The 24460-nt window shown below is 35.9% G+C and overlaps 1 protein-coding gene and 2 pseudogenes across 2 annotated transcripts in view, besides 1 other annotated feature; 1 reads left to right on the top strand and 2 right to left on the bottom strand.

Annotated features, from left to right (window-relative positions):
• Positions 1 to 24460, bottom strand: part of HS2ST1 (heparan sulfate 2-O-sulfotransferase 1) — a 195348-nt gene that overhangs the window by 41838 nt on the left and 129050 nt on the right. The window lies entirely within an intron of this gene.
• Positions 21427 to 22270, bottom strand: LOC100421468 (ubiquitin like modifier activating enzyme 2 pseudogene; annotated as a pseudogene).
• On the top strand, positions 22268 to 23411 carry LOC100421465 (ubiquitin like modifier activating enzyme 2 pseudogene; annotated as a pseudogene).
• Positions 23009 to 23108: an enhancer, noted in NCBI's record as "active region_1286". NCBI's record gives its function as "activates an Ori minimal core promoter by ATAC-STARR-seq in GM12878 lymphoblastoid cells {active_cell/tissue: GM12878}" and the evidence as "EXISTENCE:reporter gene assay evidence [ECO:0000049][PMID:35858748]".

Below are 24460 nucleotides of genomic sequence, written 5' to 3'. Positions count from 1 at the left end.
TTATAGATTCAATGCTATCCCCATCAAGCTACCACTGACTTTCTTCACAGAATTGGAAAAAACTACCTTAAATTTCATATGGAACCAAAAAAGACCCCGCATAGCCAAGACAATCCTAAACAAAAAGAACAAAGCTGGAGGCATCACGCTACCGACTTCAAACTATATTACAAGGCTACACTACCAAAACAGCATGGTACTGGTATCAAAACATAAATACAGACCAATGGAGCAGAACAGAGGCCTCAGAAATAACACCACACATCTAGAACCATCTGATCTTTGACAAACCTGACAAAAACAAGCAATGGGGAAAGGATTCCCTATTTAATAAGCGGTGTTGGGAAAACTGGCTAGCCATATACAGAGAACTGAAACTGGACCCCTTCCTTACACCTTACACAAAAATTAACTCAAGATGGATTAGAGACTTAAACTAAGACTTAAAACCATAAAAACCCTACAAGAAAACCTAGGCAACACCATTCAGGACATAGGCATGGGCAAAGACTTCATGACTAAAACACCAAAAGCAATGGCAACAAAAGCCAAAATTGACAAATGGGATCTAATTAAACTAAAGAGCTTCTGCACAGCCAAAGAAACTATCATCAGAGTGAACAGGCAACCTACAGAATGGGAGAAAATTTTTGCAATCTACCCATCTGACAAAGGGCTAATACCCAGAATCTACAAAGAACTTAAACAAATTTACAAGAAAAAAACAACCCCATCAAAAAGTGGGTGAAGGACATGAACAGACACTTCTCAAAAGAAGACATTTATGCAGCCAACAAATATATGAAAAAAAGCTCATCATCACTGGTAATTAGAGAAATGCAAATCAAAACCACAACAAGATACCATCTTACGCCAGTTAGAATGGCAATCATTAAAAAGTCAGGAAACAAGAGATGCTGGAGAGGACGTGGAGAAATAGGAACACTTTTACACTGTTGATGGGAGTGTAAATTAGTTCAACCATTGTGGAAAACAATGTGGCGATTCCTCAAGGATCTAGAACCAGAAATACCATTTGACCCAGCAATCCCATTACTGGGTATATACCCAAAGGATTATAAATTATTCTACTATAAAGACACATGCACACGTATGTTTTACTGTGGCACTGTTTACAATAGTAAAGATGTGGAACCAACCCAAATCCCCATCAATGATAGACTGGATAAAGAAAATGTGGCACATATACACCATGGAATACTATGCAGCCATAAAAAGGATGAGTCCATGTCCTTTGCAGGGACATGGATAAAGCTGAAAACCATCATTCTCAGCAAACTAACAAGAACAGAAAACCAAACACCACATGTTCTCACTCATAAGTGGGAGCTGAACAATGAGAACACATGGACACAGGTAGGGGAACATCACACACTGGGGCCTGTTGGGGGATGGGGGCTAGGGGAGGGATAGCATTAAGAGAAATACCTAATGCAGATGATGGGTTGATGGGTGCAGCAAACCACCATGGCACAGGTATACCTATGTAACAAACCTGCATGTTCTGCACATGTACCCCAGAACTTAAAGTATAATAATAAAAAAAAATTTTTTAAGATAAAAATTTTTTAAAAAAGTTGTTGGGAAGTCAAAAGTTATATACAGATTTGATGGCACAGGGGTGGGGAGTGGTGCCCTAGCTCCCACATTGTTCAAGATCCAAATGTATAGAAAATCTGCTATGCAAGCTATCTCAGGTTCACCATGAAATGTATAGCCTACAGATCACACGGGGTGCAATGTAGGAGTCATGAAATTGCAGGCAGGCCAGGCACCAATGGCACTATTATTTCCAACTGAAGATGGACACTTAGCTCCATGGCAATTCTAGTTTTTCCAGGCTCCTGATGAAGGCAGCACATATCTGAGCTTGATGCTTTTCCACGTGTCAGATTAGCAACAAACTCAATTCTTTTAAAAGGTAACAGTAATATTTACCTATTTCCATACTGACAGGCCCTTAAAGACTTTATTTATTAACAGAATAAAATGATTAGTTAAGTATAAAACATTACATTAAACTAAAATCTACACAGCATTAAAATGACAAGGATGTATTCTGTATCAGACTGCAGGATAACTGAAGAAAAGAGAACTGAAAACGTGCAATAGTTCTATATTATGGGTAACATTTTAGGACGAGAGGGATATAAGAAACAGCAAAGAGAAAGAGCAATAAATTGTCTTGCCCTCAAATACTGAAACTTCTAGTGTTAAAATAAAAAAGAAATACATTGATAACAACTAGATAAGTAATAAATCCAAAGCAAAAAATATTAACAAAAAAGACCAAATTTTCATATCTTTAACTATAGTAAGAAAACACAGAAATCAGCAATAATAACACTTCAGTAATGACAAGCTAAGGTGATTTATAAGAGACTGAACTATATATGCATAACAGAGCAGAGCAACACTACACATTAGTGGCTCATAATGATTTTGGGATCATGGACTCCTTTGAGAATATGATGAGAAAATTATGCTCTCTTACAAGGTTGGCTTGTGCATTTCAGGGCTTCCTCTTAGAGCCCAACCACAGGCAAGGGGGTCTATGACCCTAGATTAACTACCCTTAAAAACAAAACAGCTCCTAGGACAATGAGGCCTGATGATAACCTAACAAAAGACACTGGTAAGTATGCAGAAAAAATAGGTTACTCGTAAGTAAAGATCAAAGGCAAGTAGAAATCAAAGGGGAAACCAGCAGGGTCTACCCAAGAATTGTCTATGGGTGGAGGAGCCTTGGCATATCAATTTGTCTAGTCAGATCCTCCTGGCAAGTATGCCTATTGTAGAGCTAGATAAGCTAGGCTCTAAAAGCTCAGTGCCATTAAATGTCTGAATTAAATTGGATCCTTTGCATTTTCTAGGAATGAATCTTGAGCTGTGTGCATCTCCAATAACTGCTCTGACGTGTAACTCATTCCCCATAAAATGAATACACAATGAGGAATAGTGAGCAATACAGATGCACCAAAAGAAAGCTGTTGTGAGGCTATTTAACTGATTCTTGCTTCAGCATCACTTACTGTGAGTTGACTGCCCAGCCAAACACCATCTGATCCTCATGGAAGTAATGTTTTGTAATCACTGAGAATTAAGTAAATTGACTGTCTGACTGTATACACTATTTTCTTAAGAGTATTGTTAGCCTGGCCAGGTGCGGTAGCTCATGTCTGTAATCCCAGCACTTTGGGAAGCCAAGGCAGGAAGATCACTTACTTGAGCTGAGGAGTTCAAGACCAGCCTGAGCAACACGGCAACACCTTGTCTCTACTAAAAATTTTTAAAAATTAGCTGAGTGTGGTGGTGCATGCCTGTAGTCCCAGCTACTCGGGAAGCTGAGGTGGGTAGATTGCCTGAGCCCAGGAGTTTGAGGCTGCAGTGAGCCATGTTCACACCACTGCGCTCCAGCCTGGATGACAGAGCAAGCCCCTGTCTCAAAAAGAGTATTATTAGCTTGAATCAGTCTCCCTGAGCACAATCACCATGGGGGACTAACAAAATAAATTTCTATATGCAAGGTAGAGAGATTCTGAACACTGACAAATGCTTTCTTGTGTGGTTTCCAGATAGTCAACAGGGATGCATATGGTACCATTAAAACTTACAAGTTATGGTTATATGAATCATCCTATAAAAAAGAGCTAACAGTGACTTCCACTTTAAGGGAAGATGGAGTAGACTTATGTTTCACTATTGCCCCTTCTGAGTACACCTAAAATACTGGCACACAATACATGAAACAAATGTAAGACTCTAAAAGAGAAGACAGTAGACTACTGGAACCCCTGGGACCTAAGGACAATAAAGTGCTGAGTTGCCCTAAGTTTTATTTATGCCTCATACATTCCAGACTTGGAGCTATAGAAGCTGGCAATCTAGAAACAGGTACAGACAAAAGAATCCCTACAAAAACCTATTCTCTGTAGCCAAAGGACCAGGAAAGGAACAGCATAGCAAGATAGAAAGCTTAGATAATAACCACTCTACAGTAGCCAATTTCATAGGAAAAACCGGCCCCCCCACCAACTGTACAGGACAAGTAGGGAGCCTAGACTTCCACCCTCACAATGCCCAATATCCCTGATGGGGTGATGTCAGAGAAGGCCAAGTACAGGGTCAGGACTTTCATCTCAGACAGCAGGTAACAAGGCACCTCTGCAGTATCAGTGGAGTCCAAGCAAGGAAACAGAAGATTATAATTAGACCCAGAGTCTTATAATACAAAAATGCTCAGGTTTCTATAAAATACTTATTCATCATACCAAGAACCAGCAGGATCTCAAACTCAATGAATAAAGACAATCAAGAAATGACCAACACCAAAATAACAGGAATGTTAAAATTTATCAAAGACTTAAAGCAGCCACGATAAAAATTCTTTAATGAGCAATTATGAACATGCTTGAACCAAACGAAAAAAATGGAAAGCCCCAGCAAATACAATCTCAGTAGAGAAAATGAAGATACAAAAAAAGAACCAGGCCGGGCATGGTAGCTCACGCTTGTAATCCCAGCATTTAGGGAAGCCGAGGCGGGTGGATCATGAGGTCAGGAGTTCAAGACCAGCCTGGCCAACAGAGTGAAACCTTGTCTCTACCAAAAATACAAAAATTAGCCAGGCGTGGTGGTGCATGCCTGTAGTCTCAGCTACTCAGGAGGATGAGGCAGGAGAATCACTTGAACCTGGGAAGCAGAGGCTGCGGTGAGCGGAAGTCACGCCATTGCACTCCAGCCTGGGCAACAGAGCGAGACTTTGTCTCAAAAAAGAACCAAATGGAAATACACGAACTAAAATAAAAAGCTCAGTGAATGGGTTCAACAGCAGAATGGAAGAGATGAAGAAAAGTTTAATGAACTGAAAGAAAAAACAAAAGAAATTACTGAACCTAACAGCAGTGGGAAAACAGACCAAGAAAAGGAGAAACAAAAACAAACAAGAGCTCAAGAAACTGTGGTCTAGAACAAAAGATCTAACATTGGTGTCACAGAGTCTTAAAAGAATAGGAGAAAGAAAGCAGGGTTGAAAAGTGCTCAAAGAAATTATGGCTGACAACTTTACACACTTAAAAAGAGACATAAACATTTAGATAGAGAAGCTGAACAAACTCCAAATAAGGTAAACCCAAAGATATCCATGTCAAGACATATCATAATCAAACTTCTGAAAACAAAAGACAAAAAAAGTCTTGAATGCACCTGTATGAAGCCTACAAGAGAAAACTGGATTAACAGCAGATTTCTTATCACGAACCATGGAGCCAATAGGAAGTGGCACAATGTTTTTCAAGTGCTGAAATAAAATAATCGTATACCTAGAGAAAATAATTTTCAGGAATGAAAGGGAAAGTAACTCACATGAAAGAAAATTAGCATTTATTGCCAGTAGACCTACCCTAAAAGACTGGCTAAAAAAACTCTATAAATAAACAAAAAGGAAAAGATAAAAGAAGAAATCTTAAAACATCAGAAAGAACAAACAAAAAAATGGAGAGTAAAAATATGTGTAAATACAATAAACTTTCCCTTTCCTCTTGAGTTTTCAAAAGCAAGTTTGACAGAGAAAGCAAAATTATTACGGCATTCTGTGATGTGGCTCTAAATGAAGGCAGAGCAAATATTTAAGACAATTACATTGTAAGTGAGGGAGAATAAAAAGACAAAAGTGGAGGTAAGGTTTCTATACTTCACCTGAATTGGTAAAATGATACCAGTGAACTGACAGGTGACATTTATATAATAAAATATGTAAAACAAGCATGAAAAAGACTATATAAAGACATTAAACTCAAATCAAAATGCAATTCTAAAAAAAAATATAAGTAACCCACAGGAATGCAGAAAGAGAAAACAGAAGTGAAAAAAACAGAACAGAAGACAAATAAATAGAAATGTCAAGGGAAATTTTAAAAATACATTGACATGAATGAAAATGAAAATAAGCAAATCAAAATTTGTGGGACACAGTTAAGGCAGGACTGAGAGGGAAATTTACAGCACTGTATGCAGACTTTAGAAAAGAACAGTCTCTAATCAATAATCAAAGAAGATATACAAATGACTAACAAACATGAACAGATGTTCAACATCATTAGTCACTGGGACATGCAAATCAAAACCACAACAAAGTACCACTTCATACACACTAGGATGGCTATAATTAAAAACAGATAAACCAAAAACTTAAAAAAAAAAAAAGAGAAAAGAATAGGAAAATAACAAATGTTAGTGAGGAAGTGACAAATTGTAACCCTCATACATTGCTGGAGGGGATGTAACATGGTGAAGTCATGATGAAAAACAGTTTGGCAGTTTCTCAAAAAAGTTAAACAGAATTACCAAATACCTCAGTAATTCTACTCCAAGGTATATACCACCCCAGAGAACTGAAAACAGGTACTCAAATACTTATAAATGTTTAAAGCACTAACTCACTATAGCCAAAAGGTAGAAACAATCCAAATGTCCATCAACAGATGAATGAACAAATAAATTGTGGTACTATATACAGAGCAATAGAATATTATGCAACTATAGAAAGGAATGAAGTACTCATATATGTTAGTAATACAATATAGATGAACATCAAAAATATGCTAAGAAGCCAGATACCGAAGGTCATATATAATTAGATTAATATGAAATATCCAGAATAGGTAAAAATGAAACAGTATATATTAATATATTGGTGGTTGCCAGGGAATGGGGGGAGGGAGAAATGGAAAGCACCCGATTAACGGTGATGGGGTTTCCTTTGGAGTAATGTTTTGGAACTAGATAGAGATGGTGCTTGTACAATATTGTGAATGTTCCAAATGCCAGTGAATTGTTCCCTGTAAAATGGCTAACTTATGTTTGTTTCACTTCAAAAAAATTACCAAATATTGAGATCTTATAATACAGGTTCATTTTAATAATAACATTAAAAACAAATTATAAAATATTTAACTGTTTATAAATTAGTCATTTATTCTCAATTTAACAATATTTATTGAGTATCTTCATGTACAATAAATTTTTGTAGGCCCTTATTAGACACATCTTTTAAACAAACATAATGCTTCCACATTAAATATATGTTAATCCTTAACATTCTGAAAATACATTACAAAATAAATATCAAATTTTCTTTCACAACTTCATCTGTGATAAGGTTCTCACTAAAAATATATTGGAGTTAATGCTCCTGAGATGATCTATTAGATAAAAACATTAAAGTAATTATTAAATACCCCATCAATCCAAAAAACACCAATTCTTTTCTTTTTGTGTTATTGCTAAGGTTACTACGTTAAAGGAATATGAGTTATATTTTACTAAATGTACTTGCCAAGCTTGGCTATGGCTATACTTTTCTACAGTTATTACATTAATTTAACAATGTGAAATCCTTATAAGTTATAACCTTCTTTTATTATCAATCTGAGAAATACACTAATCACCTACATGAAAAAATAGTATTGGTAATAGCTAACATTGAATTCTCACTATGCTTTAAGTGTTTTATGTATATCATCTGTTACACCCATGCTGTGTTGTGGTTTATATACATCATATCATGAGAGGCAGAATTATTATCCCCATTTAAATAAGAAAACTGAGTCTCTTTAAGTGATCACCAGCTGTTTACTGATGTCAGGATACCATTACAGGTCAATGTGACTCTAGAGCTCATGTTCCACATTATACTGATTGTCTGAGATTTTGTCTATTTCTATTATAGGAAGAGGTAGAGCCTTATAGTTAAATACAGCACTACAATATTATAGAACTACCTTTTTTTTGCAAATGCCTTTTAAAATTATTTGATATATTTTATTTTGGGATTGCAAAAGCATTTTGCAATTGTTTCCTGCAACATTCCTTTGAAATAGGCATGGTAAATAAGTGAAACAGAGGGACAGAAGATGGTTGTCTTCCAGGTGCTTAAAAGAAAAACATGCTGTACTATCTTTGCAACTTCCTGTGAATATATAATTATCTCAAAATTTAAAGTTATAAAAAACCACAACCAAAGCCAAAAACAACATAATTCTTGATATCATTCCCCAAATTAGTAATTGTATAATATTCTAGGTATCATTCTTGAATAGGGAAAAAAAATCACAACATACAAAGGTTTTACTTATTTATGGGTTACTATATGGATTGTAAGGTCTGAAGTAGGTCCAATATAGGGCCTAAGTTTTTCTTTAAATGTACCAGAATAAGTATAGAGATGAGACCTATTATTCAAATTGTAAGTAGAATCCTCTCCCAATTCACAGTTTAGAAAAACACCAATTTGCCTTGATTGTACTGACCAGAGTCAGATTTACCTGCATCCATCTTTTGGGAATGAAACTCCCAGAGCATTTTTGGGAAAAAAATTCTTTTACCAGACGCCCATAGCCTGTTCACCCTAGCCTCTTACTTCTGTCTGCCAATAACACCTGCACCAAGTATCTATTTTTAAAATACAAAATATCATAGTTAAAAATCATAGGTGAGCTGACTTCAAGGCTTCTTTCTTTACTCATTTCAGTCACTTGAAATAAGTACGCTGATACAAAATGGGGAGTCCAACTATACATGCTTTTCCTTTTTCTTGAGCTTTATTAAGACATTAATCTCATCATCCCTCATCTCTTTATAAATTTCTCAAGTGAACTGTTCCTATTTTCATAGTCTATCTTGTACAAAATTGAACAAATGCCACTGTAACAAATGCCATAAGTAAGAACAAAATACTTCTGGATCCAAGAATTGGAGAAAAACCTTCTGGAAAATACACTGAGTAAGTTCAGCCTTAAAAGGACAGAGCTGGCTTTCAAGATGTGGGGATGGCTAATTGGAGAAGGCATAAAAGCCTGAGTAGTAGCACAAGCTGATAAACAACAAATATACTAGCATAATGATTATAATATTAACAGTAATGTGAAGCAGCTGCAAAAAAACGTATGGCAATTTTAGGCTGTGCCAATAGGTATATAATTATCAGTGTAACAAGTGCTTCTACTTTGAGCCTTTACTGTGAGCCAGGAACAATGCTTCATATTTTATTCATTTTTTATTTTTTTGAGACGGAGTCTCACTCTGTTGCCCAGGTTGGAGTGCAGTGGTGTGATCTCGGCTCACTGCAAGCTCTGCCTCCTGGGTTCACGCCATTCTCCTGCCTCAACCTCCCGAGTAGCTGGGACTACAGGCACCTGCTACCACGCCTGGCTAATTTTTTGTATTTTTAGTAGAGATGGAGTTTCACCATGTTAGCCAGGATGGTTTGATCTCCTGACCTCATGATTCCCCGCCTCGGCCTCCCAAAGTGCCAGGATTACAGTCGTGAGCCACCGCACCCAGCCAACGGTTCATGTTTAAATGTACATTACTTCACCTAATTCTTGCAATAATCCTATATGGTAACATTACGGAATTTAGACTCAGAGATATGAATTACAGGGGAAAAAAGTCAGAATTCACACCCTCATCTGTCTGATACCAAAGCTTATACTCCTAACCAAAACACAGTAATTAATGTTTCAAGTCACAGGAAGGAACAGTTCCTAAGAAATTTGTATTTAGTCACACAGGGCTATTATGTGTCATTTCAGGCACACGTTAAAAGCTAGAGTACTCCAGAATGGGAATGAGCTGGATGGATCATGCCACATAAAAAACTTAAAAAAAAACAAAACAAAACAGTGCACTTAGCTAAGAGAAAATCCATAAAAATGACTAACAGTCTCTTGAAATACTTGAAAAGTTATTGTGAAAAAGAGGCAGAATCCTTTTTGTAGCATTACTCCAGAAAAAAAGATATGACTGTGGCTCAAGAGAGAACGGGCTTTCAAATAATTAGTAGTGCAAAGTAAAGACACAGGCAGTTTAGGGGGTGGTAAGTTATTAGTCTCTGGAGATACTCATATAGAGGTTGCATGAGGACCTGTCAAAGAATGATGGAAAAAGGATTCCTGCACTGATGAGAGCTGAAATCAGGGGACCTCTGGATTGCATAACCCTGAGATAAGTTCCATAAAGCTATGCTATCAATTTCTCCTCTACAGTACAGATGTGTTTTTGGACTCCCTCCACCCACTCACCCCGAGGCTAAAACAAAATCGAAAGAAGCAGAAATAGAGAGAGAAGCAGGCCAGTAACAACTGGGTGGGAGGAAGGGAGTAGGATGCCTACTTATTCTCCCACAATCCTATTTTATTCAGTTTCACCCAGATGTATTTGTTTAGCTTAAGACAAAAAATACAGTTTTTTTTCTCTCTCTTTTTCTTTTTTTGAGACAGAGTCTCGCTCTGTCGCCCAGGCTGGAGTGCAGTGGCATGATCTCAGCTCACTGCAAGCTCCGCCTCCCGGGTTCACGCCATTCTCCTGCCTCAGCCTCCTGAGTAGCTGGGACTACAGGCACCTGCCACCACGCCTGGCTAATTTTTTGTATTTTTAGTAGAGATGGGGTTTCACCGTGTTAGCCAGGATGGTTTCGATCTCCTGACCTCGTGATCCACCTGCCTCGGCCTCCCAGAGTGCTGGGAGTGAGACTTTGTCTTTAAAAAAAAAAAAAAAAGTGCCTTCTGGGTGACAAAGAAACCTTCCAGGCAAAGGGAAGAAGCATGAGCAAAGTCCTTGGAGGCACAACACTGTAGAGTGCATATAGGCCCTAAAAGTGGTTCTTAATAAGCTTAGAAGATAGGAGAAAAATTAAGGGCAAGGTAAAACATAAGGCAGAAAAGTGGGCAGAAGCCAGATCACAGTGTCTTAATCACCATATTAGGAATATGAACCATATCCTATAAGCCAGCATTCTGAAACTTGCTGGTCTCAGAACCTTTTATACACTTAAAGATTGTTAAGGACACCAAAGAGCTTTGGTTTATGTGGGTTACATCTAGCAACAGCACATTAGTAATTAAAATTGAGAAACATTTATTAACTCACTTTAAAATAACAATATGACATGTCAGCATAAATGACATGATTTTGTGAAAAAATTTTCCAAAAGCAAAAAAATTTAGTGTAACATATTTTTGCAAATCTTATAAAGTGTCTGGCTTAATAGAAGACAACTGGATTTTCATATCTGCTTCTCCATTCAAAATATTACCATATATTATTTGGGTTGGAGTCAATGAAGAAAATCAGACTCATATAGATACAGTTGGAAAAGGAGTACTTTAGTAGCCTTTTCAAATAATTGGAAATATTCTTTTTCAATTCTACACTAAAACCTAGTGTTAATTTCTTAAAAGTTAACTGCAATGTGATAGAAAACCATATTAATGAATATACACTATTCAAGTTCATATCAGTGAATATATACTGTTATATTGATATACTTTGCACTGTCATTTGAAAAATATTGGTATACGGAGTTATGCAGATCCTCCAAATATTAATACATTAGAATTGTATAATAAAAATTATACAATTTAAAAAATCACATTCATTATAACACCACCAATCTCAGAGAAGTCTAAGTATTGGGAAACTGTTATGTTCATAGCGGCAGATACAAGTTTTTTTGAATTTTATAATTGGCAACTAATACTGTCAACTATTTTCCTTACAGCGACAAGTTCACTTCATTCATTTTTGAGAAAATATCTCCCAACTACACAAGTCTGAATAAACATAGTTTGTGTGTTGATCATTCTTTCAAGTAAAAACAGTGTTCTATGAAAAAAATTGCCTTGTTGAGCTTGCAACTTGTCTTAATCTATTTTCTCTTGCTATGACAGAGACCAGGTAGTTTATAAAGAAGTTTCTTTAGCTTCTGGTTCTTTAGGCTGGCAAGTTCAAGACTGGGCAGCCACATCTGTTGTCTTCTGGTAAGGGCTTCATGCTGTATCAAAAAATGATGGAGGAATAGAAGAGAAACTGACATATGCAGAAAATAGCGCAAACACGAGAGGCAATCTTGCTTCATAACAACCTGATCTCATTGTAACTAATGTAGTCCTCAGAGAGTGAGGACTCACTAACTCCCTCAAGACTGTACTGATTCTTTCATGAGAGCAGATTCCTCATGATCCAAATGCCTCTTAAAGGTCCCACCACCTCTCAACACCATTACAATGGGGACCAAGCCTCAACATGAGTTTTGGTAGAGACAAACCATATTCAAACCACAGCACAACTCAATCACACAAGTGCTTTACCTCAAGACAACCTCTGTACTCTGGTATGCAGAAGTGCTTGATGTACTTTATATATTGTGACAGAATATTAAGGACATACACAAAATAGTCAATATTTAATAAAGTTATTGCTTTCTGACGGACATTCTTATGTGAAAATGGCTTTTGAGGGTTTGGGCTGTTAGAGAAAGGCAGCAAAAAACACAATGCCTACTAGTACAGTTTGGTACCACCAATGCTTTTTACCATAAGGACAAATGTCAACTAGTGAAAAAGGCAACTAACATCTTAGAATTATTATGAAAATGATTGTGAACTATTTTGTGAAAGCCCTAAAGGAGTCTTAAGCATCCCTATGGTACATGGACTGCACTTTCAGAACAACTTCTATAAGCGATAAAGAGCCATTTTTTTAAAGAGTTTTAAGTAACCCACGCGGGACTTCTACAATGCAAGATTTTATAGAGTGATAACGCTTACAGTTGAGTATCAATGGCCTGAAGACATAGTGAGGATTAAGACTTGAAGGAAAGCAACTGCAGTAAGGAAGAAGCATGGGGACTGGAAGGAGATAGGTTAATGGGTTAGAGGCTTAGGTGACAAGAGTAGAAGACGGAATTGGAAGTGGCTAAGGTACTGTCTCTAGGCTTCTTTACTGAGGAGGAAGATGGTACCATTCAGTGAATTTGAGAATTGGGGAAGGAAGAATAAATGGGGATGAAGAAAGGAATTCAGGATAGTTTGTAGTCTACACTGAAGTTCAAACTGAGAAATCAAGTATGTAGCTGGTCTGTGGAAGAGCCCATTTTCATAAGGCTTTATTTCAAGCTTGTGTAAGAACAATATCCAAGCCTAACAGGTCTAGGGAATAGGATGGGGAGGGCACAATGGCAGAAAAGTTCTGGATTAGAATGTAATGTGGCATCTGTTCCCTCCCAGCCCCATGAATTTCCAGATATTTATGTGTTTGAGTTTTTAGAGAAAGGGAATGCAGGGAAATGATTAAGGAGCTGTTTCAAAGAAGGGCTTTGTAATATAAAGGGGGCACTGTATTAATTAGGGAAACATCAGCTGTTGTAACGAAATCTCGATTGTTTACTACACAAGAAGTTTAGTTCTTGCTCAAGTACCAACATGAGTGTTTCTGGTTGGCAGACAGCCTTTTATGCAGTAATTCAAGGAATTATGCTCCTTTCCTCTTCTGACTTTGCCATTCTCCACAGTACCTTGAAGTCTTTTGATCCAGCTGGCCGATAGAGTGCAGAAAGCACAACCATTTCTTAATTATCTTGGCAAACACTAGTCATATGGCCCTACCTAGATGCAGGGGTTGTGGTGAGAAATTTAATCCTTGGTGGGCAGTTGCTTCCTAGCAATAAAAACATACTAGAGGAAGAAATGCATGAATAGCTGGTATATAGTTTGCCATTTCTTCACACAGGCACATAAAGCAGGTTCACAAGTGATAAAGTATGACATTACTGAGGACATAAGAGAACTTTCTCCATTTCTACATGAAATGTGACATCAATCTTAGCACCATGAAGGCTCCCATACTTTCTGGCATTTCCTCTTGGGGAAGCAGCAGAGATGATGATGCTTGATTAGAGATAGTTGTTCTATGGACAAGGAAGTAACCAAGCAGATTCTTATGGGTAGAGGGGAGTCTGCTTTTTAAAAAACAAACAAAAAAACCCACATGAGATATCTCTAGAAGAGTTTCAGAAATATTAGAAAGGAATTTCAATGGAGAATGAAGCCCTGTGCAAACATCTAGGGTAATGGCCAAAATAGGCTATTTGACCTATTATAATAATGAAAAATAGGCTATTAATGTAACTCTGATTCCATATGTATTTACAGGGTTAGTATGAGGGAGAGATTTGGATTATCAGTTTCAGACACAGTGAGTTTCATGTGCCCATGGAACATCCAGGTAGTAATATGTAGGTTACAGAAGATATACATCTCAGGAGAAAGTTCTGAACTAAAGATAGAAATTAAGAGTCACAACACAAAGGCATCAGCTGATGTAAAAGGAGTAAATGAGATCATGAAGGTACACAGTTAAAAAAAAGAGAATTTTATTTTTATTTTTAAACATCAAAAGAGAATTTTGAATTCATCAGCTTTTGGTTCTAAATATCTGTATTACCAACATTACCTATAACATATGTGCAATACAACCAAAAACAAATCTGCACTATCACTGCAAGATCATGTACTAATCTATTAAACATTTTAAGTGCTTTTGACCATGTTGTCCACTTGTAGATACTCAAAGTATACTGCAGCAGATAAATGCTAGTTTCATGTCTTACTGACATGCCTTTAAAATGTTTTTTGAAGGACTCATGAGTTTTGCAACTCACAAAGCACGCAGCTGGACCTTACTACTAAGAATGCATTTAACTAAAATCTCTGCTAGCATTTTTTTCCAAAGTAAAACTAAACATAATATTGTAGAAGATGTGAAAAAGGTTGAAAGTAAATTATTCAGGAAGACATTAAAAAATTTTTAATGCACATACTGGTGGAAAAATAAAATAGGAGTAAATTATATATAAGCTTTGTAATTCAGCTAAAATATTAATTTTGATATTAAACTGGTAGGAATAATTCAGAGATTTCCTTAAATTCTTAGCACAAGTCCATACTGCCATTAAAATAGATGTGCTTTGATTGTTGAAATATCATACCAAGAAGATTAAAGCATTTTCAAAATCAAGAAATGCCAGAACTGTCTACAAAGCTAAATTATTTTCACACTTCAACAACTGCACCTGGTGCTCCACTCACTAGTAAGTAAAAAGAATAAGAAGTAACTAGGATTCAACTCCAGCTGGGTTTGGGTATCATTAACGAAAACCTAATGCAGCAGCTGTTGAAAATTAGAATTAGCAATGCTGAAAACTTGCTATTATTTTACTGGAGTTTGATATGCATCATATTCTAAAGCAGTGGTTCTCAAACTGAGCATGCATCAGAATTACTTGGAGCATTTGTTAAAATACAAATTCCTGCCTTCCCACATTCCCTAGCTACTAATTCCAAGGACTAAGAATTTGCCAGTCCAGTTCCCAATGCTGATATGATGGTCCAGGAACACTTTGAGAATCGGTGTTCTAGAGGGCATTTCTGTTGGCTTATTAAGAAGACAGATATAGAATATTATCTTTTCCATGTAACTAATTAATTGTACCCCATTAATTGGAATTTTAGATGTACCTTAGATCTGTGAAAAACAACGTAATGGTATAAACTAGTTGTGAGGGTATTCTGGTCATCACATCCATTACCCTTTAACTCATGGCACTGATTCTATTGGACTAACTGGATTTCCCATCTTCCTCACTGCTCGCCACCAACCACTACGTCTCCTAAGGCTAGTCAGTTCCTCTTTAAAGCATGCTGTACCATCATTATGGAAAGCACAAGTGAAATGTTTACATTGTTCTTGAGCATAAACTGTTACAAAACCCTGTGAAAATGCAACATTAATTAATTCTGAATCATGGTCATTGCCCCACACCCTTTTAAACTGAAACCATTTTTGGGGTACAACCAAGAATTCAAGAACCATGTTAAAGATATTCATCTAGGAACATTCACGTATATATGAAGAAATTCTGATTAAACTACAAGTTCCAGTCCTGGCTTACTAGTTAAAAACTGAAGTTCAAGTAGATTGTACACTACCCATTGTTAAGACTAAAAAAGTGAGTTAAAAAAAAATTTTTTTTGAGACAGGGTCTCGCTCTGTCACCTAGCCTGCAGTGCAGTGGCATGATTAGGGCTCACTGCAGCCTCGACCTCCCAGGCTCAAGTGATCCTCTCACCTCAGCTTCCGGAGTAGCTGGGACTACAGGTGTGCGCTATCATGCCTGGCTAATTTTTGTATTTTTTGTAGATACAGGGTTTCAGCATGTTGCCCAGGCTGGTCTCAAACTCCTAGGCTCAAGCGATTAGCCCACCTCAGCCTCCCAAGATGCTGGGATTACAGGTGTAAACCATTGCACCTGGCCTAAAACTTTTTATATTTTACAGCTTTGTATCTTCTGAGAAACTGTTATAGCTTTTCAGTTGAATTTGTATTTTTCATGAATCTTTAAAAATTAGTCACAGGTATTAATATTCTAAAGATGTTCTTTTTTAAACATCGATTTCCAAAAACTGTCTTCCTTTGCATTTGTCTTGTGTAACAAAAAAGAACCATTATTCAGGATCCTGTAAACTACAATTCTTTACTAGTGACACTTCAACATGCCCACAATGCAATGATAATTGATATTCTCAATAATGACCAGTAAAATGCTGGACAGTTGTTATCAATCGACAAAAACTAATGCTTGACCATAATTTGAGTTTTAATTGTGTTTTACTGAATTTTAATCATATGAAACAAGTGTAAGAAAAAAATTCTCAAGTAGAATATTCTTTATTTTGCAGACTACTGAACATTTACTATACAATAGACATTTTAATATCTACTTTAAAATAATTTGTTGATCTTTACATACCCTATATATTAGCTTTTTAAATCCATTAATATTTTTGGCTTATTTTCCTATGCCAGAAATAAAATTATGATCATTATGAAAAGGTATGGGTTGATAAAATTAATGGGGATAAGGCAAAGTAACTCAAAACTGTTTGTTCTATTGTGAGTTACTCTGCCTCATCCCCATTAATCTATTTGAATTAGGCAACATAAATTTAAGTACATTCTAATTGAACACTGGAACCAATCAAACCACGAAAACTGAAAAAAAAAAATCATGTAGAATTAACGTGACTTTTTGGGGGAGGAGAGCATAACTTGTTTAAAAGCTACTTCTTTCTCTGAAAGAAAGGTGATGACCATTATTACCCAGTATACAGCAGACACACAAATTTGCTTAATAAAAATAATATAGCATACTAAATTAAACCATATGGGAGACAGAGTTCTTCACTCCACAATCTAAGAAATATTAAAAGGAAGTGAAGGATAATGTTAAAAGTGAAGGTTTGAGGTGATTTGATCTCTACTAACCTAATGTTACATATAGCACAGTCAAAGCTAAAGCTCCATACATGTCAAGACTGTTTAGTATAATATTCTAGGTATATCACACCTGACTAATCCTCAGAGGTTTTTTCCTGTAATGGTGCCAAGACTCTGTAGGAGAAAGTGATAGTGGCAGAAAAGTCAGAGATTAAAGTGGTCAGATAAGTAGGGCAGGACCATGATTTCTGACCCTAGAGTAATCTAAGAATCACATGGAAAGTTACATTACCTTAAAATAGATTACAGGGTATAACAAATTCCATGGGACTGGGGAATCTGTATTTCTTAAAAGCTCCCAAGGTGATATAAGAGCAAGTAGTCTAAAATCAATAACAAACAGAAGATATTAGAAAGCAACACTGGAGTCAACATTTGTTGACTCTGGTTTGTGACCCTGTGGGTACCATTCTCCATTTTACCCTTTTATAGCTAAAATTTTACAGGAGTCTCTGTAGCATAATCTCTCATATTTGGAGGCCATTTTATTTCTAATGTAGTCCCAGTTTACTTCCCAATTTTGGCTTTTTCTTGGTGGCCTAAGATAACCTAGAAATAATAAGTCTAAATAAAACAAAGTTCGAAAAATAAAGAAAATAGAAATTTTAGGAATAAGATTACTTGATGGGATCTATCAAATTATTCAAATTCTTAAATCTTAATTTATAATTACTAACATTTATATTTGCACATTAAAAGATAATGTACTAATTATCAGGATCCATACACACCATAGAAAAGGCTGAGATTGTCAGACTAGATAAAAAAGCAAGATTCAACTATATTCTGACCACAAGAAAACCACTTTAAATGAGAGAAACATTAAATAACTTAAAAGCAAAAGGATGAGAAAAGATATATCACATTATCACAAATCAAAAAAAGCTGGTGTAGCCATATTCATGACAAATGGATTTCAGAGTAAAGAATACTGGCAAAGATAAAAAGGATCATTTCATAATGATAAAGGGGTCAATTTATCAAAAAGACATAACAATCCTAAACAATTTTGTACCTTTATAAGAGAGTTTTAAAAACATATGAATTAAAAGCTCACAGGAAAAACAGACAAATCTGCAAGTATAATTAAAGATTTCACCATCATGCTCACAACAATTGATAGTAAACAGAAAATCACTAAGATACAGCAAATTTGAACAATATCATCAACTAATTAGCCAATTGGCATTTAGAGACCACTCCATCCAGAATGCAGATACACATTCTTTTCAAGTGTACATGGAACATTTGATAAGACAGACCATATTCTCAGTCATAAAACAAGGTTCAAAATATTTGAAAGTACTCAAATCATACAAAATATATTCTCTGACTAAAACAGAATTAAATTTAAAATAACAGAAAAGACATTTGAAATGTCCACAAATACTTGGACTAAATAACACACTTCAAGTAACCCACAGGACAAAGAAAAAAACAAAAAGGAAAGTAGAAAAGCATTTTGAACCTAATAAAACAAAAACATCAAAATTGTAAGATGTAACTGAAGCAGTGCTTTTAGGGAAACATACAGCACTACACGATCATATTAGAAAAGAAGGCAGTTCTAACACCAGTGACCTAAACCACAGCTAGTTCTTTGTGCCAAAAATAAATAAATAAATAAAAATAAAACTGATAAACTTCTAGCCAGACTAATAAGAAAAAAAAAGGGAAGATACAAATTATTAATATCAGAAATGACAAAGGAGAGAATACTACAGACAATAAAAGAATATTATAAGCAACTGTAGCCAATAAACTTGATAAATTGCTAAATTCCTTGAAACACAAAAATTAACGAAGCTCACAGATAGCTAAACAGAATAACCTTTTAAATCTATTAAATGTATAGATAAAAAACCTTCGCACAAAAAATGAAAACAAATCTTTCTCACAGATAAACAAAAGGCCCAAATGGCTTTAGAAAATTCTACCAAACAAAAAAAATACCAATACCAAAAATACCAACATAAGAAAACATCAACACAAACTCTTGAAGAAAACGCTTTCCAGTTGAGTCTCTGAAGCCAGCCTTTGATACCAAAATCAGACATGAAATCCCTTATAGAGGCAAAAATTAACAACATTTAGTGAAATGAAAGGACAATTATCATACCTATGTAGTTTATCCCAAGGATACAGATTGGTTTAACATGCAAAAGTCAATGTAACTTACCTTATTAAATAAGCTAAAGACCACGTATTCATCTTAATACATGCACATAAACAAAATCCAACATCAATTCATGATAAAAATCTCAGCAAACTGGGACTAGAAGCATGATAAAAATCTCAGCAAACTGGGACTAGAAGCATGATAAAAATCTCAGCAAACTGGGACTAGAAGCATGATAAAAATCTCGGCAAACTGGGAATAGAAGGGAACTTCCTCAAACTAATAAAAGGATATCTGTAAAAATGTTCAGCTGGTATCATACTTTACTGAAAGACAGACTGGATACTTTCACCCTAAAACCATGAATGAGGCAAGGATGTCCACCCTCATCAGTTTTACACAACACTGTCTTGGAGGCTCTAGCCTGTGCAATAAGGCAAGAAAAAGAAAGGCACACAGATTAGAGAGCAAGAAGTAAAACTGTCTTTTGTCACAGACAGCATGACTGAATGCGTAGAAATTCCAAAAGAATCTAATAAAAAAGCTACGAGAATTAATGAGTTTAGCAAGGTTGCAGGATATAAAAATCAATATACCTAAATCAATTGTATATTACTAATAACAGATAATCAGAAATTCACATAAAAAATACCATGTAAAATAGCACAAAAATATAAATAAATTTGCAATAAGATGTACAAGACCATACAGTAAAAATTATAAAACTCTGCTGAGAAAAATTAAATAAGATCTAAATAGATATGCCACATTCATGATTGAAAGACTACTGTTAAGATGTCAATTCTCCAAAAATTTATATACAGATGCCATGCAATCCCAATCAAAATCCCAGGACACTTTTTGGTATGAATTGACCAACTAATATGGAAATGTAAATAATTTGGAATAGGCAAAACAAATTGAAAAATAAGAAAATTGAAGGATTTACACCACTTTATCTCAAGACTTGTTATCAAGTTACAGTAATCCAGACAGTATAGTACTGGCATGAAGACAGACATCCAGATCAATGGAACAGAATAGTGAATCCAGAAATATAACTATACAAATATGATCAATTGATTTTAGAAAAACTTGGATACAAATATGATCAATTGATTTTAGAAAAACTTGGTAGGATAGTTCAATGAAGAAAATGATCACCTCTTCAACAAATAGTATGGGAACAACTGGATAGCCATTTTTTTAAGGGAATCTTCATTCTTTCTTCATTCTTCACATCATATACAAAAATGAATTTAAAATGAATCACAGACCTAAATATAAGAGCTAAAATTATAAAACTTATAGAAGAAACAATCCTAGTAATTTTAGGTTTGGCAAAGATTTCTTAAATATGACACAGTAAACAAGAACTACAAAAACAAACATCAATATAGTGGACTTCACTGAAATTAAAAGATACAGAAATGAAAAGGAAAGCCACATAAAGGAAAAAAATTTGTGAAATGTATAGCCAACAAAAGATTTGTATCATATCAACAAAAAATGTGTATCTTACAACCTAATGAGAAAATAGCCAGTCCATTTTTTTAAATGAACTAAGGATTTGGACACTTCCCCAAAAAAGAGATATGCAGATAAGAAGATGAAAGACGTTTGTCATTAGAGAAAATAAAAGGAAAACTACAATGAGATAACACAAAAATTTGTAAGAATGGCTAAAACTGAAGACCGGTCATACCGAGACTTGTCAAGAATGTGGAGTAACTGGAATTCTCATGAACTGCTGGTGGGAATATAAAATGAGACAACCATTATGGAAAACAGTTGGACAATTTCTTAAAAAGTTAAACATATAGGCTGGGCGCAGTGGCTTGTGCCTGTAATCCCAGCACTTTGGGAGGCCAAGGCAGGTGGATCACCTGCGGTCAGGAGTTCGAGACCAGCCTGGACAATATGGTGAAAGCCCGTCTCTACTAAAAATACAAAAATCAGCTGGGCGTGGTGGGTGCCTATAATCCCAGCTACTTGGGAGGCGGAGTCAGGAGAATTGCTTGAACCCAGGAGGCGGAGGTTGCAGTGAGCCAAGATCGCACCATTGCACTCTAGCCTGGGCAACAGAGCTACACTCCATCTCAAAAATAAATAAAATCGACATGCACAGCTTTTTACATCTAGAACCTGCCGGTCTTTCAGGCCTAACTGGGGTTCATTCTGTTGATCTGATGCATTCGTTTCTTCTCCTTGACTTTGTACTTCAGCCCAGTCCAACAGAACTGGAGGTTTCCTTTTCCGCCATAGTTTGTCCATTATCAACAGATACCTGATGTCATCTTTAAAAAGCTTGGTAAAAAGTTTAACTGGATTATATCCAGTTGATTTAGCCCATTCCTTAGTGGAAATACGTTTAATGTCACCTTCTTTATTAGAATGTTCTAGCTCTGGCTTTGGCTTCTGTTGGTTCCCAGGCAGCTTCAGGGTCAGCTCTGTCAGGAGATACTTCTTAAGTACTTTGCCCAAAAGATGCAATGTATAGGTTCTGAAGGTGTGTTACAAATTGTACAGTCAGGAGAGGTTCTCTGGGTTGGCTTAGGATGACATTCGTAACACTTGGTCACACCCTCTTTGATAGTAGTTACTTGTCCAAGATACCCAGCAGTTCCACTTTCAATAAGAGGAACAACAGCTGCCAGGCACACTCTATTAACACGGTTTTGGGCAGCTCTGTTATCTAAAGCATTCATAACCAATATAAACTGTCAAAAATATGCCACATTATAGTCAGGGTTCATGATGCTGTCATGGTAGGCAACCATATTAGCTTTCAGGTAAAACTGCAGTGCACTTTCCCTGGCAACCTGTGCCTTTGATCTTCCAACATGTTTCTTTTGAAACAAAAACTGTTGAGGTTGCTGACATCAATAGTAACCAGATCAATCAGGTCGACGTGGGAGAAGCCGGTGAGCACAAGGTTCTTAAGGAGCTCACAGCACTGAGACTCTGAGAGTTCATTTAGCAGAAAAGGGGGATGGAGCTGAGCTCACATGGGATAAGGATGACCCATATGCAATGGATTTTGTTACCTCTGCTACAAACCTCAGGATGCATATTTTCAGTATGAATATGAAGAGTAGATTTGATATCAAATCAGTGGCAGGGAATATTATTCCTGCTATTGCTACTACTAATGCAGTGATTGCTGGGTTGACAGTATTGGAAAGATTGAAGATCTTATCAGGAAAAATAGACCACTGCAGAACAATTGTTTTGAATAAACAAGCAAATCCAAGAAAGAAGTTTCTTGTGCCTTGTGCACTGGATCCTCCCAACCCCAATTGTTACATATGTGCCAGCAAGCCAGGTGACTGTACGGCTGAATGTCCATAAAGTGACTGTTCTCACCTTACGAGACAAGGTAGTGAAACAAAAATTTGCTATGGTAGCACCAGATGTCCAAATTGAAGATGGGAAAGGAACAATCCTAATATCTTCTGAAAAGGGAGAGACAGAAGCTAATAATCACAAGAAGTTGTCAGAATTTGGAATGAGAAATTGCAGCTGGCTTCAAGCAGATTACTTCCTCCAGGACTATACTTTATTGATCAACATCCTTCATAGTGAAGACCTAGGAAAGGATGTTGAATTTGAAGTGTTGGTGATGCCCCAGAAAAAGTGGGGCCAAAACAAGCTGAAGATGCTGCCAAAAGCATAACCAATGGCAGTAATGATGGAGGTCAGCCTTCCACCTCCACAGCTCAAGAGCAAGATGATGTTCTCACAGTTGATTCGGATGAAGAAGATTCTTCAAAGAATGCTGACGTCAGTGAAGAAGAGAGAAGCCGCAAGAGGAAATCAGACGAGAAAGAGAATCTCAGTGCAAAGAGGTCACGTATAGAACAGAAGGAAGAGCTGGATGATGTCATAGCATTAGATTGAACAGAAATGCCTCTAAACAGAGCCCTCTTACTACTTAGTTTATCTAGGCAGAACCAGATTATTTGTTATGTCCTTTGTTCCAAAGGGGAAAAAATGGACACCAGTGACTTGAAAATGATTCTGCTCCCTCTGAAAGCATTCATTTTGCTAGAACTGTTAGACACACTGCAGTATGCTATACTGAAAGTAGGAATATAGCTTTAAAAACCCTTTGAACAAAGTATGTGCATAACCAGTCATGAGATAAAACAACACAATGCATGTTGCCTTTTTAATGTAAATACCCTTAGGTATCATTAACAGTTTCAAAATATTGTGGTTAAGTTGATACCTGGTTATAAATATCATGCCTTTATTTTTGGCTAGAAAAATTAATTTTAGCCTAGCTCTAACCATTTTCATACTCTGACTGAAACAGATTCAAAGAAGTATCAAATGCTATGTATTGAAACTTGTTTTTAAATGTTAAATGGCACTATGTATATTAATGTAAAACAATGTTAATTTACTCACGTTTTCAGTTTGTACTGCCTGGTATGTCTGTGTATGAAGCCAATTTTTGTGTATTGTTATAGTTTCAGGTTATTTATAGTTGATGTTTTGTAAAACTCAATGGCTATACTTATGGACCAAATAAATGGCATCTGCATTCTTGTTACAAAATTAAATAAATAAATAAATAGTAATGGTGTCAACTAGAAAGCTAAGAACTGGTAGAGCTGTAATGTCCAAAAATGTCGGTACTGTTACTGCTATTTATTTAATGATTTTTATTTTCCTATTTTCTAGATCTACATAACAAAAATAATGCCGCATTTCAAAATTATGTGACTAAATAGTGCTAGTATTTACTACCACAGACCCTTTCTCCTCCCCAGTGTCTTGGCCTGCTGAACTGAATATAGATTATCAAAGATTTGTTGTGAGCCTAACATTTCAATGGTTATATAAATTTTACAGCATTTTACCTTACTTGCTCTGAGACTTCAAATACAAAAGCATTTTTCTAAATTTTCTAAAATAAACATTACTATTATAATCCAAAGAAAATTTATTCTCACAAAATATGGTACAAATATAGTCACCCAACTAAATATTAAATATTTATTTCTATACATATATTTCATAGCTTCCTGTATATATTTATTGATAAATACTAAAGCTGATATATGGAAAGGCTTGATATATTTAGTAAGGTCATGTTTCAGAAGCATTGTTAATGCACATAAGACATATACATCCATA

Source organism: Homo sapiens, chromosome 1 (assembly GCF_000001405.40).
Source record: "Homo sapiens chromosome 1, GRCh38.p14 Primary Assembly".
In the NCBI taxonomy this organism is placed as follows: domain Eukaryota; kingdom Metazoa; phylum Chordata; class Mammalia; order Primates; family Hominidae; genus Homo; species Homo sapiens.
Note: the sequence above shows the minus strand (reverse complement) of the source record. Positions and strands in the feature narration are given on the sequence as shown.